The 17,141-nt window shown below is 44.0% G+C and overlaps 1 protein-coding gene across 1 annotated transcript in view; it reads right to left on the bottom strand.

Annotated features, from left to right (window-relative positions):
• The window catches only part of NOMO1 (NODAL modulator 1), a 62,437-nt gene extending 51,882 nt beyond the window's left edge, over positions 1-10,555 (bottom strand). Inside the window, exons 1-3 of the mRNA NM_014287.4 lie at positions 10,260-10,555; positions 5,780-5,869; positions 2,869-2,914 (exon numbers count right to left, since the gene is read on the bottom strand). Of these exons, the coding sequence (NP_055102.3) occupies positions 2,869-2,914; positions 5,780-5,869; positions 10,260-10,424 (301 nt within the window). The 5' untranslated portion in view covers positions 10,425-10,555. The remainder of the gene's footprint in view (positions 1-2,868; positions 2,915-5,779; positions 5,870-10,259) is intronic.
• Between the last annotated feature and the right edge of the window lie 6,586 nt (positions 10,556-17,141).

Raw genomic sequence — 17,141 nt, 5'->3', positions numbered from 1 at the left:
AGGCAGTAATAGCTGCAATTTACTGAGGGGTAAATTAAGGCACAGAAAGGTTAAAGGAGCTCCCAAGATCACAGAGCTTCTGAGTGACAGAGCCCCAATTCAACCCTAAAAGTCTGGCTCTGGATCTGTTCTCTGACCAAGGACATGAGCTCAGCCATGTTAAACCAGGAACACAAACTCCAGGGCCACAGGGGCCTCATGGGTTCGAAGTGAGCGGAGCATCCTCAGGGGGACTGTGGCAAATTGAAAGGAGACAACCGCCACTCAAGTCTGCCAACCACTACCATGCTTTGCCAGAGCTTCCAACTTCTCCGAAAAACTGGAAATCTGGATTTTATATACCATCTCTTGATTTTTCAATATCAGCAATTAACTCCATTTTTTAACTGAAGAGTTCATCATAATAGGGGTTAAGGTTGAGTTTTTGAAAGGTTAGGAAGAATATGGAGTAATGAGTAGAGAAAAAAATGGAAAACCATGAGATGAGATTTTCAGTTAAGATGAATTACACACGTGCTTGCACGCGTACATGCACACACACACACACACACACACACACAAAGACTCCAATAAAAAATGGGCAAAAGACTTGAACAGGAATCTTACAAAAATAGCTAGCCCATGGCAAACAAACATAAACATACAAAAAAGTGGAATTTTCATTTACATTCCATCAGTGGAATGTAAATCAAGGCCACAGTGAGATAATACCACACCCCCACCAGAAGGGCTAAAATTAAAAAAAACTGACGATACCAAGTGTAGGTTAGGATGTGGAGCAATGGAAACCCTTGTACACTGCTGGGAGAACACCAACTGGTGCATCCACTTTGGATGTTTGCAAACACCTAAAGCTGAGCATGTATCAGCTCTATGGCTCAGCGACTTTACTCCTGTGATATACTCAGCAAAAATGCAGACACATGTATCAAAATATACATACAAGAATGTTCACAGGAGCACTGCTCTTAGTGGCCAAAATCGGTAAGCAACTCAAATGGCCATCAACAGTAGAAGAGATCACTGATACAAAATATGAATATAAAATATAAATATAGGCCAGGCGTGGTGGCTCTTGCCTATAATCCCAACACTTTGGGAGGCCAAAGCGGGCAGATCACTTGAGGTCAGGAGTTCGAGACCAGCCTGGGTCAACATGATGAAACCCCATCTCTACTAAAAATACAAAAATTAGCTGGGTGTGGTGGTGCACACCTGTAATCTCATCTACTGAGGAGGCTGAGGCACAAGAATTGCTTGAACCCGGGCAGAAGTTGCAGTGAACTGAGATCACACTCCAGCCTGGGCAACAGAGCGAGACTCAGTCTCAAAAAAAAGAAAAAATAAAATAAAATATAAATATTTTATAAAATATAAATAATTTTATATTTATGCATCAGAATTCTCAACAGCAAAGAGAATGAACTAAAGCTACAAATGATACAGATAAAGTTCATAATGTTGAGTGAAAGAAACCGGATATTAAAAAGTTCCCTGCATGATAGCATTTGTATAAAGTTCAAAACAGACCAAATGGATCTCTAATTTGTAGAAGGTGAGGGTGGTGGTCACCTGGAGGGTGGGGCGGGATGGCTAAGGAGCACCCAGGATGGGGACTTCTGGGGTGCTGGTGAAGTGCTATCTTATCATCTGGATGGTGGATACATGGGTGTGTTCACTTAGTGAAAATTCATCCAAGGCACTTTTCTGAAAGTATAATTCAATTAAAAAGCTTATCAACAGCACCAGTTGGGGGTAGGGTGGGGGGTGGCAAACACAACACTCCTCCAGGCCACCAATCTGGACTTCTGCTTTGGCCATGAGCAGGGCTGCATTCCTCTCCAGCTTTCTGGAACGTACCAGCCAGGCACCCCCCACCCTACCCCTGACTATAAACTGATAAAAGAGCTGCTCTCACAGAGCCAAATTAGCTGTCAGCTGCCTGAGCCTCATTTTAGCCTTGGCGATGGCAGGTGCTAAATTCTTCCTTGTCTAATGCACGAGCAAGCCTGATATCAACAACGGTGATCCCTACTCCTCTCCCCAAGCCATGGACTGGGGTCACCCACACCTGCTCTACTGAAACATCAAGAGTCTCTCCTCTTCAAAAATGTAAACTACATCAAAACAGACCCTCTCTTCTGATCTCAACCCCATCCCCGACTCCCCAGCTATGCTTGAAGGCAGTTATATGAGGAAAGTTTGGAGCTTTTGTTTGGGATGTGTGCAGAAGGGCTGTTTCTGAATACTGAGTACTTGCTAATTACGTGCCAGCCCCTCTGAACACTCAGTATTGGTTTATTAATCGTCCAAGTACCCAGTGGGGCAGGGACTATAACTACCCTTGCTCGACAGTGAGGAGCCAGGCTGACACGGGGGAAGTAACTTGCCCAAAGTTATTTAACTGGTAAGGTATAAGGCTGACAGTCTTCTCATCTCATGGGACATAAATCTGGATTTTTATGACAAATCTCACAATCTTTAAATGTTTCAATTAATTCCATAAAAACTTAAAAAACTGAGGGGGCTAAAAAAGAAGCCATCCTGGGACGGGAACCAAGTCCCCACTCTTGATTTCTATACTGTTCCACGGCCACGTAATGAGTGAAACTGCAAGGGAAGAGTTTCCAGAAAGGTAGAAGAAAAGATGTCTATTTTTCAAAGGTGACAGAAAGTCTTAAGGTAGATTAAGGTAAATCCGAACTAAACCAGAGTGATGGGGGCAAGGAGGGGAGGAATACAAACCCTCTTCCATACTGGAAATGATCCTTAATATTTTAATAGTTTATGCACTCTGCTAGCCTAAATTAATATTCGGCATATCATCTAATCTTTTACAAAGAATGTCTAGTGATTCAGTTAACTTACCAAAACTCCACCCTAGGGGAGGCTCAATCTTCAGAATGAAATCCCCCTAAAAGGAAAAAAAGAAAATGTAATTTCAAGAAATGAGAATTGTGACTCTGGCTAAATTTAGTTTAGTGTTATCATTTAATCTAAAATTTTTTTACACCGGAAATGAAATTCTAAGAGTGAGCCTTGTTCTTCTACATGGTACTGAGCACTGATTCTCTTCAGAAGCTACAAGCTGAAGCTGAACACCAGAAGTTTTCATCTAAACAATCAGAAGACAGTGCTGAAGCCCATTCATGAGTTCTAAAGACACTAGGTTCAGCCACTCACTGTCTTTTAATACTAAACATACTATAATTCTATTAATTGAGTCTCCCATTAAGCCCTCACATGCCTACAGTTGCACAAGTTAGCATGTATCTTCAGGAACTAAAGGCACCCCCTAAAACTAGATTTGGCCAGGCACAGCACCTCACACCTATAATCCCAACACTGTGGGAGGCCAAGGCAGGAGGGTCACTTGAGGCCAGGAGTTCAAGACCAGCCTAAGCAACATAGCAAGACCCCATCTGTACAAAAAATGTTCTTAAAAAATCAGCTGGGTGTGGTGGCAGGCGCCTACAGTCTTAGCTACTTAGGAGGAAGAGGCAGGAAGATCACTTGAGCCCAGGAGGTCAGTGCTGCAGTGAACCATAATTGTGCCCCTGCACTCCAGCATGGGCAGCGGAGGGAGATCCTGTCTCTAAACAATACATTAACTCATTAATTCAATAAATAAAACTAGATTTTACTTATCAACCCTGGTTTCTTTGTTTTTGTTTTAGTTTTTTTTTTTTGAGATGGAGCCTCGCTCTGTTGCCCAGGCTGGAGTGAAGTGGTGCGATCTTGGCTCACTGCAACCTCCGTCTCCTGGGTTCAAGCGATTCTCCTGCCTCAGCCTCCCAAGTAGCTGGGACTACAGGCATCCACGTGACACCCGGCTAATTTTTTTGTATTTTAGTAGAGACGGGGTTGCACCATGTTGCCCAGGCTGGTCTCACACTCCTGAGCTCAGGCGATCCACCTGCCTCAACCTCCCAAAGTGCTAGGATTACAGGCATGAGCTACCACGTCCAGCCTCCTGGTTTCTTGAGACTGATACTGATACTATTTAAAAATTAATTAAATAGATTTCAGGACAGACCCAGCTAGTCCATCTCTAGAAATCAGTCCTATGCATTCTGGATGAAGAGTTAAGTTCAAGAATATTTCCTGGTGTGTTATGTTAAAATTACTATTATTTTAAAATTGGGGAAAGTCTATATGTCCAAGTAGTTAAATAAATTACAGTTTGGGTTTGACTCTGACACACTATGCAGCGATTAAAAAGAAGTCAGTAGGCTGAGCATGGTGGCTCATGCCTGTAATCCCAGCACTCTGGGAGGCTGAGGTGGGCGGATCACCTGAGGTCAGGAGTTCAAAACCAGCCTGGCCAACATGGTGAAACACCATCTCTACTAAAAATACAAAAAAAATTAGCTGGGCATGGTGGTGGGTGCCTGTAATCCCAGCTACTTGGGAGGCTGAGGCAGAAGAATCACTGGAACCCAGGAGGCAGAGGTTGCAGTGAGCCGAGATCGCGCCACTGCACTCCAGCCTGGCTGACAGAGTGACACTCTGTCTCAAAAAAAAAAGAAAAAAAAGTCAGTAGATCTATCTATGCTAATGTTGAAAGCATGCAAGAGGAAAAAACCAAATGTCCCTCTGGTATTGAAAGCATTAACACAGGGGAAAAAATGAAACTGCAGAATAAATCCTATTGTTTGATTTCATTTGTATTAAAAAATATATCAAAATCAAAACTATGTGTATTGACTATTTTTGCAACTTCCTATGAATCTGTATTTCCAAATAAAAGGTTTATATGTGGGAGGATGGGATTGTATAGAGGTGTTTGTGGATACATATCGATGTGCATGTGTGCTTGTGTGTATTTCCATGTATACATATGCATGTGTACCCGTGGCTATCTGAATAACTATAAATAGAAAGCAATCTGTTAGGATGCACATCAAAATTTTATAAGAGGGCCGGAAACATCGGCTCACACCTGTAATCCCAGCACTTTGGGAGGCTGAGGCAGGTGGTTCACTTGAGGTCAGGAGTTCGAGACCAGCCTGGCCAACATGGCAAAACCCCGTCACTATTAAAAATACAAAACATTAGCTGGGTGTAGTGGCAGGTGCCTGTAATCCCAGCTATTTGGGAGGCTGAGGAAGGAAAATGGCTTGAACCTGGGGGGTGGAGGTTGGAGTGAGGCAAGATCACACCACTGCACTCCAGCCTGGGCGACAGAGCGAGACTCCATCTCAAAAGAAGAAAAAAAAAAACAACAAAAAAACCCTTTATCAGATTATCAAAGGTTATCACTACAGAGGGAGGTAAAATTGGAGGGAAAAGGGTACAAATTTATTTCACATACTTCTAAAGACCTTGACTTTCTTTTTCACAAAGTTCATGAATTCATGTATTACTTGTACAATTGTTTTAACAATACTTTAAGCTGCTTGCAAGTAACGGGTTCCATGAAATCAGGGTTTCTCAGCCCTGGCACTACTGACATCTGGGCTGTCGTAGGCAGCACTGTAGCGCATTTAGCTCCACGCCTGGCCACTACTCACTGGGTGACTGTAGCGCACAGCCACAGATGTCACAACAAAAACGTCTCTAGACATTGCCAAATGGCCCTAAACACAGAGAGAGCCACTGTATTCGTCAAGGCAGTTTGTAAGTTGTCTCCCTCCAAATGTGGCTAGGATTATCATATTCCACTAATAATTTACAAAACAGATGAGCATTTGCTAGTGTAGGAAAGGGCATGGTTAATGCAGCCTGGTGAGGCACACTAGTGATTTCCCATCATAAGTGACAAGCAGTCCCCTCTTACCTTATCATACAAAGGGATCATAAAGTAACCATTATTAGGGGCACAGTCTGTCTGGTATTTCAAAGTCCCATGCTTGGTGTACAGCTTTATCTGGAAAGGAAGGAAGGAAAACAGAAATCATAACATTGCCTTTGGGAATTAACTACACATGTTACACCTGAATGCACTCAGTCAGTATACATTCACTGAGGACCTATTATATGCCAGCTTTTAACACGGGGCATTACTGGGGACAGAGGGAAATCAACAAACTCTCTCCCAAATCATGTGACTCAATGTTTTTCAGATTAGAAACCATCTACAGCCTATTACAATGCCTTATTTTTCAATGCTTTTCTGTTTATTTTAGTGGCTGTCTCTAGGTTGCTCGTGTAAGTTTCCGGGTCTAAAACAAATTTGCAAACTTTGCCATTAGTAAGGTGCTTATTAACATGCAAATTCCTGGCTGGGCACGGTGGCTCATGCCAGTACTCCCAGCACTTCAGGAGGCTGAGGTGGGCAGATCACTTAAGGTCAGGAATTTGAGACCAGCCTGGCCAACAAGGTGAAACCCTGTCCCTACTAAAAATACAAAAAAAGTTACCCAGGCATGGTGGCAGGCACCGGTAGTCCCAGGTACTTGGGAGGCTGAGGCAGGAAAATTGTTTGAACTCAGGAGGCGGAGGTTGCAGTGAGCCAAGATCATGCCACAGCACTCCAGCCTGGGAGACAGAGCAAGACTCCGTCTCAAAAATAATAATAAAAAAAAATAAAGTAAAATAAATTGCAAATTCCTGGGGCCCACCTCTATTTCTCAACTAAAGGTCTGGAATGAGGGCCAGAAATCTTCCTTACTAACTCTGAATAATTTCAAATACTTGGAGCAACATTCATCTAGAAACTTAATTTTCTCATTACTTTCATTCTCCGAAGAAAAAGAGACTAAAAAGACATTTAATATCTGTCCTCTCTTCAAGGACTCTCTAAAACTCTTACATTCTGAGCATTACCAGACACGAAGTGTTAACCCAGTAAGATGCCCAAATGCCATCTGAGTCTTCCACGTGTTGCGTGGCCTTGGGCAAGCTCGTGTTCGGTTTCTTCAGATGTAGACACAGAGCCACTCCTTTTCATGTGGTTGTACAGATTCACATCAATGCATATTAAGCACCTGCTACAGAATATGGATTCAAAGAAAAATCAGTTTGCGGCCAGGCATGGTGGCTCATGCCTGTAATCCCAGCATTTTGGGAGGCCAAAGAAGGAGGATCACTTGAGCCCAGGAGACCAGCCTGGACAACATAGCCACACCTCATCCCTACTAGAAAAAAAATTAGCTAGGCATGATGGCACGTGCCTGTAGCCTCAGCTACTCAGGAGGCCGAGGCAGGAGGACTGCTTGAGGCCAGGAGTCAGAGGCTTTGGTGAGCTATGATGGTGCCACTATACTCCAGCCTGAGCAACAGTGTGAGACCCTGCCTCAAAATAAAACAAAATAAAATAAGTAAAATGGGGCCGGGCGCGGTGGCTCACGCCTGTAATCCCAGCACTTTGGGAGGCCGAGGCGGGTGGATCATGAGGTCAGGAGATCGAGACCATCCTGGCTAACAAGGTGAAACCCCGTCTCTACTAAAAATACAAAAAATTAGCCGGGCGCGGTGGCGGGCGCCTGTAGTCCCAGCTACTCGGGAGGCTGAGGCAGGAGAATGGCGTGAACCCGGGAAGCGGAGCTTGCAGTGAGCCGAGATTGTGCCACTGCAGTCTGCAGTCCGGCCTGGGCGACAGAGCGAGACTCCGTCTCAAAAAAAAAAAAAAAAAAAAAAGTAAAATGGAAAAAGCAGTTTGTATTACTATTTAATATCTCTCTCTGAAGAAAAAGGCAACACAGTGTAATACGTAGGGAACATACTGGGCTCAAGGAAAATTTCCTAAATGTACCTGCACAGCTCAACCACTCTGAGGCTCAGTTTCCATGTCTGTAAAAGGAAGCAGTTGGGTCTGATGCACCTAAAAGCCTCACCTCCAAAATGTTAATGCTCTATGACCATGAAACAAACCATGACACGAGCTGCAATGAAACAGTCGAATCTCACCAGCTAAGAAGATGTACAAAGTGACTAACTCATAAAACGAACATTTGAACATTTGGGAAAGGACTCGTGTGAAATAAGGTTAAGCCTGTATGTAAAGTTCTCTGAGGTCAGTGACAACTTCATTCCCCAGTGCCTGAGACAGTGTCTAGCTTACTCTAGGTACTCAGTGAATTTGCTACAGGTGACAAAGAGATTCAGATACATGCATTTAAGGCAGGGACTGGAAATTCACCAGCCTAGACCGGTTAGGGAGGCAACATCAAGGGACATTCATCCAAAAGGATTCAGATCACTACAAAACCCAAGCCAAGTGTGGCAGCCTAAAGATCGGCTGGCTTTCCAGAGAAATAAAGAACCCGGTTTTTAATGTGAAACCTGCGGATTGTTAAAGTATTAGCAACCAGTATAATTTTTTTTTTTTAACAGTAAGGTCCCTGTTAGAGAACAAAATGTCAGTCTCATGAGAGTATGGAGTTTTGTCTGTTCTGTTCACTGTACTGCTATATCCACACTGGGGACAAGGCTTCAGTATGTGCCAGGGCTCAGTAAATAGTTGTTGACTCAATGAACACGATGTAAAAACACTCAGGATGGGAGAAAGCTAGAGAAGAATGGCGGCAGTTGCATAGGAACACAAAAAACACAATCAAGAAATAACCGTGAAATATCATGATTATTTCTACATCTTTCATAAAGTACAATCAGGACACAGGATGGCAATGTAATCTACATCAAGATGGCCAGTATGAAATGTCTGATTTCAGAATCTGAATTACTTATGAAAGAATGAGTGTCCCACACCATCTGGACAGGCAGCCCTTGGGCTTAAGGAACACACTTTGAAATGGGTCACAAAACCTGTTCTCTGCTCTCAAGGTCACTATTAGTATGAGGGTGAGGGTGGAGGGGGGTGCCTGTCTTTTCCTTCCTTCCAGAACCCCTGGAAACTACAAGTTGCAAGAGGCCTTAGCGGCCTCTTGCATTTCAGCTTCTGAAATGCCCTGTGCCGTCTACAGCCATACCACCCTGAACGCGTCCTGTCCCCAGTGCAGACCTAGGCGGTGGCATGGGCACCCAGAAACATGTACCCAGGAAATCCTAGGAGCCCTGCCGCTGCCAGTGGGTAGATTCATTCAATGCCTGACCTCTGACCTCTTCAGTCTGAAAAAGCAGTAAACAAGGGGGCCTTGAAGAAGATCACGGATCCGCTTGTTAAAGAAATGTATCTGCTGGGTTCCACTGTTTCTCTCCCAACACCATCCTATAGGTACAAAAACTGAAACCTAGAGCAAGGGCAGGTCGCAGAGCTGGTGGGGTGTGGAACTGACTCCCTACCCCTCCCCCAATCCTCAGCAGCCCGCTTTGCAGAACACAGAGCTTCACCCTTCACTGCCAGCCCTGGAACAGCTCAAAGGTGCTTTCAGACGATCTTTGGGGTCTTATTCCCCAATCCCTCTCTTTGGCATTTCCCAGCCTCTTCCTTCGTTTTCTCCTAAATTACCTCCGAGGCACCCGCTCTTTTCCTCTTCCTTGTCCTACCCCACCATAAATCCCCTCCCAAAAATGAGGCCCAGGCCTTGCTCTGGTCCCCTCCCATCTACCGGGACAAATGACATTCTGCCCCTACCTCCATCCATCCCTTTCCTCTTTACGGGAACCTTTCTGGGTCATAATCCCACCGGGCTGATAAACATTTAACAGGACTTTACAACTTAATTTAAAAAAAAAAAAAAAAAACCTTCAGCACAAATCTCTAGGGTAATTCCATTAACTACTCATTAAGGCAATCAGGGCAGCTGGCAACTCTCCATTTTCAGAAGTGGAGGGGAGCCGGAGAAATAAAAAATAGCTTTCCGGCCCCAGGGTTGCCAATACTGATCTACTAGGTCAGAATCTATGGGATGGGAATTGATGCTCTTTAAAATCATGCCGCGGGGTTTGGAGGAGCAGTGGATTAGAACTTCGGGGGGTTCTGGGCTGTGGAGTTTGGGGGATAAGACATGTGGTCTCTAGGTTCTGGAATGTGGGTTTGGGGAAATCTGAGTTTCAGGGGGTCTGATTCGAGGAGATCTCAGGTCTAAGTTTTAAAGAAATGGAGTCTGGGCTCCAGGGAATTTAGGGTCTGGGTTTTGAGGATCTGGGGTCTGTGTTCCGGGGATCTGGAGTCGGGGTTTTGAAGAACCTGAGGTCTGGCACCCCTCAGTCCTTAGACGACCCCATGATAAGAACCTCCCCTCCAGCGCGACTGGGGAGGGGCTGCAGGGAGCCCGCGGACAGCATAGCCTCGGAAGAGGTAAGGGCTCCAAGGACTCCACACCGCCCGGTGTCAGAGACGAGGCCAGCGCGGCCCAGAGAGGCTGAACCACCGGCCCGGCGACTCGGCGCCGGGCGGCGGGGCGGGCGCTCACCTCGATGAGAGAGTAGTTGATCTCCACGTCCGACTTGACGAAGCCACCGCAGCCCACCACGATGTCCTCCGAGCCGTGCGCCGGCCCCACGCCGCTCAGCAGCAGCACCACCGCGGCGGTGACCACCGCGGGCCCCAGCGGCCCCGCGCCCTGGCCCACCAGCATGGCCCGACCTCCCCCAGCTAGACCCACCGCCGGCAGCCGGGTCCCGCCCCTCACACTGCACGCCGCAGGCTCCTTCCTCCTCCTAGGCCGGCTGACAGCCCAGGCCCCGCCCCACCGCCGCCGCCAGAGCCGCCGCGCACGCGCGCTTCGACCCCACGTTCACAGCCCCAGAAGAGAGAACTAAGGCGCATGCTCGGCAAGGAAACGAGACCATCTCTGCCTTCTAGAGGCCTGGAGGACTCCGCGCGACATCTGGCAGGCGCAACGCAAGGTGCATGCCTACAGGGAGAAGCTCCAAAGATGAATTCTACTTTAGAATTCACCATCACAGCTGGAAAGGACGGGAGATTTTGTTGGTGGAATTATCTAACAACTTTCTCAAATCTTTCTGACCCATATATTTCGCAGGTAAAATATATAATCTCACAAAAAGCTTTAGGGCCGGGTGTGTGGCTCACGCCTGTAATCCCAGCACTTTGGGAGGCTGAGGTGGGTGGATCGCTTGAGCCCAGGAGTTCGAGACCAGCCTGGGCAATATGGCGAAACCCCATCTCTACACACACACGCGCACACGCACACACACGCACACACACACACACACGAAAAACACACACGAAAAACGCTTTAAGAATTTGTGTAAGCTGGTGTATTTTTCCATGATAAATGATCGATACTTTTTTAAGCAAAACGTGTTAATGTTAGCATATTAAAGAAAGTATGTAAGATTTATTTTAATCCTAGCTCTAATAACATATGCCTAGAAACAAATTTTGATGAGTTTTCTTCCCCTAAGCAAGAAGTGCATGCAGTCAGTATACTTTGAATTAGCTCTGCAAGATGAAACATGATTTGCCTAAAAACAAGCTCAAATCCAGCATATTTTGTCCCAAGAGTGAATTCATATGTACACTGAATTTAACTACCAGTCACCACATCAAAATACACACCAAAGAGGCCGGGCACAGTGGCTCACGCCTGTAATCCCAGCACTTTGGGAGGCCAAGGCTGGCAGATCATGAGGCCACGAGATCGAGACCATCCTGGCTAACACAGTGAAACCCCGTCTCTACTAAAAATATAAACACTTAGCCGGGCGTGGTGGCGGGCGCCTGTAGTACCAGCTACTCGGGAGGCTGAGGCAGGAGAATGGCGTGAACCTGGGAGGCGGAGCTTGCGGTTAGCCGAGATCGCACCACTGCACTCCAGCCTGGGCGACAGAGCAAGACTCTGTCTCAAAAAAATAAATAAATAAAATTAAAAAAACACCAAAAAATTGCTTTTCTTACCTAATATTAGGATTTCTTCCATTTTGTCTCAAAAAAAAAAAGCTAGTGCTTTATTTTGATAGGTTTTGTATTTTGTTTCCAAATGACAAAGTAAGACTGAATTTCCCGCTGCAATTTGCCATTGTGGCTAAAACTTAAGCAATAAACAACTAAGAAGCACAGGTTCAAACCATACAGTAGTCAAACTTTCATGGGGGCAAGGAGGGAATGAAGGGAATGACACATTGACCTCAGGGTCATAATCATGAGTGCATCTGATTTCAGTTTCTCGTGCTGCATTTTCACTCAAATACAGTAGACTCTCAACTATTCAGTGATAATGAGAAACCATTTAAATAATTCGTCTACTTATTGGGGTTTGTTATTTATAACCACAATTGAAATAGATGCCTTTTATGCAAATCACCAGAGGATTGAAAGCCACCAATTAGAAAGTGTAGGCCTATGGAAACCTCTCATCTTACAGAATGGGAAACTGAGGCCCAGAGAGGAAAAGGAAGTTGTCTAAGACTCTGCATGCAGCCATAGGTTTTCCCGGAGCTAGAGAGCAGGAATTGGGGCCAGAAGCCGTGGCTTACTACTGTAATATGAACATGTTGGGAGTCCGAGGTGGGCAGATCATTTGAGGTCAGGAGTTCGAGACCAAATTGGCCAACATGGCAAAACCCTGTCTCTACTAAAAATACAAAAATTAGCTAGGTGTGGTGGCGCATGCCTCTAATCCCAGCTACTCAGGAGGCTGAGGCAGGAGAATCACTTGAACCAGGGAGCCACAGGTTGCAGTGAGCTGAGGTCTTGCCACTGCACTCCAGCCTGGGCGACAGAGTGAGACTCCATCTCAAAAAAAAAAAAAAAGCAGGAAGTGGGATCCCCAAGTTTTGTTCTGGACTCACCCCAATTGATTTCTGCTGTGTTCTTCTTGACTTTCTGACTATTTCCCTCAAATTCATCTTCAAATATAGAAAGAAATGAAGCACCAGGACTGTGACAATGCCAATTCATGGGGGTGGGATTGGGGAGTGGCTTGCAGAGAGACAGGGATTTAGCTTCCCCATAATTTCCATCAGTTTCCACCAAAACCAGCTCAGATAAGCAGACATGATTTACATGGAAACAGTAGACCTGCCACACTGAGCTTCATGACAAATCCTTGGGTTCTTTCTGTCCCGAAGCTTCCAGAAGACTCAGGCAGGAGGACAGCTGAAGGGGGCAGGGGAGGGGGTGCTCCCTGGGCCCAATACTGGATTTAGAGTGATACAAAAAGATCGGGGAAAACACGCTGTGGGGTCCCTGCAGAAGGCAAGAGTAGAAGATGAGGACAGGACCCCGAGAATTAGCAAGGCAGCATGGAGAGTGCAGAGGATTTTAATTCTTCTCCCAAACTGAGCACCTGTGCTTGTCTGTCTAAAAGAGCCGAATATTTCATTCCTATCTTGAAACAAGTACTTGCTCACTGCAACAACAAAGAAATTGGAAAAGAAAACTAGGATTCCCCAAGATCACTGTGTTACCACATTTCCATCTTTTTATCGATGCATTTATGCTAGTATGACATCGAGTCATTTCTAAGAAGTGGTGGCTGGGTCTTTGACACTTTGCTTTAAGACCCAAGAGAGAGCTGGGCATGGTGGCTCACGCCTGTAATCGCAGCACTTTGGGAGGCCTAGGCAAGAGGATGGCTTGAGGCCAGGAGTTCCAAAGCAGCTTGGGCAACAAAGTGAGACAAGTCTCCACAAAAAAATTTAAAAATCAGCCAGGCTTGGTGGTGTGTGCCTGTAGTCCCAGATACTCCGGAGAGGCTGAGGTGGAAGGTTGCTTGAGCTCAGGAGGTCAAGGCTGCAGTGAGCCATGATGGCACTACTGCACTCCAGCCTGGGTGACAGAGCAAGACCCTGACTCAAAAAAAAAAAAAAAAAAAAAAGAGACGGAGAGAGAAAAAGACTCAAGAGAGGAAGGTAAATGCCTTGGCCTTCTTCTCCATGTTCCCTAATTTAGGCATATCCTTTTCTTTTTTGCTTTAAAAAAACCAAAGCCTATTTTATATTATAATCTCTTTTATTCAATCATCACTTAGCAACCACCTTTTCATATTCATATATGTCTTCAATGGCATTTTGTTTGTTTGTTCTGAGACAGAGTCTCGCTCTGTCACCCAGGCTGGAGTGCAGTGGCACAATCTTGGCTCACCGCAACCTTCGCCTCCCAGGTTCAAGCGATTCTCCTGCCTCAACCTCCTGAGAAGCTGAAACTACAGGCACGCACCAAAACACCCAGCTAATTTTTGTATTTTTAGTAGAAACGGGGTTTCACTATGTTTGCCAGGCTGGTCACAAACTCCTGACCTCAAGTGATCCGCCCTCATCAGCCTCCCAAAGTGCTGGGATTACAGGCATGAGCCACCGTGCCCAGCTGCAATGGCATTTTAAACCACTGGTTAGTAACCCATGGCCTCAATTATAACGGTAGTAATAAAAGCTAAGTCTTCTGAGCATTTAATGTATATCTGGCAGTGTGCTAAACGCTTGCATAATCTCACTAAGTTCTCCCCACCACTCCACGGGTAGACAGTGTCCATTCCAGCAGTGAGGGGACTGTGACGTGGTCTCCATCCTATCTCCCTCGGATATTATGAAACATATCACAGAGTGTACACCCACTGTGATATTAGGAGAAAGCTCTCCCTTGGGTATTAGAATAATATCACAGGGTATACACTCACTGTGATATCAGGAGTAAAATCACCCTCAAATATAATGAATAATATCACAGGGTGTACACTCACTGTGATATTAGGAGTAAGATCTCCCTTGGATACTATGAATAATATCACACAGTGCACACCCACTGTGACGCGGTACACCCACTGAGATATTAGGAATAATATCTCCCACGGATATTAGGAATAATATCTCCCTCAGATATTATCACACCCACTTTGATATTGGAAGTAATATCTCCCTCGGATGTTATGAATAATATAGAAGGGTGTACACTCACTGTGATATGGAGAGTAATACCTGCCTCAGATATTACAAATAATATCATAGGGTGTAAACCCACTGTGATATTGGGAGTAATATCTCCCTCGGATATTATGAATAATATCCTGGGGTTTACAAACATGGTGTATACCCACTATGATATTAGGAGTAATATCTCCCTAAAATATTACTAATAATATTACAGGGTGTACACACAGGGTGTACACCCACTGTGATATTAAAAGTAATATATCTGTAAAATATGAGTACACCCACTATGATATTAGGAGTAGTATCTCCCTAAAATATTACAAATAATATCCCCCCAGTATATAACAGATAATATCATAGGGTGTACACCCACTGTGATATTAGTTATAATAATATCTTCTTGGGATATAAGGAATAACATCACAGGGTGTACACCCACTGTGATATTAGGGGTAATAATATCTACTTAGCACATAACGAATAATATGAGAGGGTGTACACCCACTGTGATATCAGAGGAAGTAATATCTCCTCAGGGTGTACACCCACTGTGATATTAGTAGTAATATCTCCCTAAAATATTATGAATAATATTACAGAGTGTACACACAGGGTGCACACCCACTGTGATATTAAGGGTAATAATATCTCCAGAAAATTTGACACACCCTGTGATATTAGCAGTAATAACATCTCACCAGGATATAATAAATAATATCACAGGGTGTACACCCACAGTGATATTAGATGTAATAATATCTTCCCATGATGTAATGAATAATATGACAGGGCGTACACCCACTGTGATACTAGGGGTAATAATATCTCCCCAGGATATAACGAATAATATCACAGGGTGTACACCAACTGTGATATTAGGGGTAATAACATCTTCCATGAATATAGCGAAGAATATCACAGGGTGTACAACCACTGTGATAATAGGAATAATATGTCTCCAGGATAAAACAAATAATATCACAGGGTGTACTCCCACTGTGATATTAGCAGTAATGTTTCCCTCGGATATTGCAAATAATATCACAGGGTGTACATCCACTGTGATATTGAGAGTAATATCTCCCTCGAATATTATGAATAATACCACAGGGTGTAAACCCACTGTGATACTGGGAGTAATATCTCCCTCAGATATTATGAATCGTATCACACGGTGTACAGGGTGTACACCCACTGTGATATTGGCAGTAATATCTCTCTCAGATATTATGAATAATATCACAGTGTTTACAAACATGCTGTACACCCACAACGATATTAGGGGTAATATCTCCCTAAAATATTACAAATAATATCATAGGGTGTACAAACATGGTGTACACTGACTGTGATATTAGGAGTAATATCTCCCTAAAATATTATGAATAACATCACAGGGTGTAAACACAGGGATACAGCCACTGTGAAATTAGGAGTAATATCACCCCAAGATATAATCAATACTGTCACAGTGGGTACACACACTGTGATATTATGGGTAATAATATCTCCAGAAAATTTGACGAATAATATCACAGGGTATACACCCACTGTGATATTAGGGGTAGTAACATCTCTCAAGGATATAACGAATAATATGACAGGGTGTACATCCACTGTGATATTATGGGTAACAATATCTCCCTAGGATGTAATGAATAATATCACAGGGTGTACACCACTGTGATATTAGGGGTAATAACATCTTCCCCAAATATAACGAATACTATCACAGGGTGTTCACCCATTGTGATATGAGACATAATAATATCTCCCCAGGATACAACAAATAATATCACAGGGTGTACACCCACTGTGATATTAGAGGAAATAATATCTTCCCAGGATATAATGAATAATATTACAGGGTGTACACCCACTGTGATATTAGAGGAATTAATATCTTCCCAGGATATAATGAATAATATCACAGGGTGTACACCCACTGTGATATTAGAGGAATTAATATCTCCCCAAAATATAATGAATAATATTACAGAATGTTCACCCACTGTGATATTAGGAATAATAATACCTCCCCAGGATATAACCAATAATATCACAGGGTGTACACCCACTGTGCTATTAGGAGTAATAATATCTCCCCAGGATATTACAAATAATATTACAGGATGTACACCCACTGTGACAATACGGGTAATATCTCCCAGGATATTATGAATAATAGCACAGGGTATACACTTACTGTGATATTAGGAGTAATAATATCTCCCCAGGATATAATGAATAGTATCACAAGGCGTACAGCCACTGTGATACTAGGAGTAATATAGTAGTATCTCCCCAGGATATAACAAATAATATCACAAGGTGTACATGCACTGTGATATTAAAGGAAATAATATCTCTTCAGGATATAATGAATAATATCACAAAGTATACACCCACTGTGATATTAGGGGTAATATTATATCTCCAAGATATAGTGAATAATATCA

This window comes from Homo sapiens, chromosome 16 (genome assembly GCF_000001405.40).
Source record: "Homo sapiens chromosome 16, GRCh38.p14 Primary Assembly".
NCBI lineage: Eukaryota > Metazoa > Chordata > Mammalia > Primates > Hominidae > Homo > Homo sapiens.
Note: the sequence above shows the minus strand (reverse complement) of the source record. Positions and strands in the feature narration are given on the sequence as shown.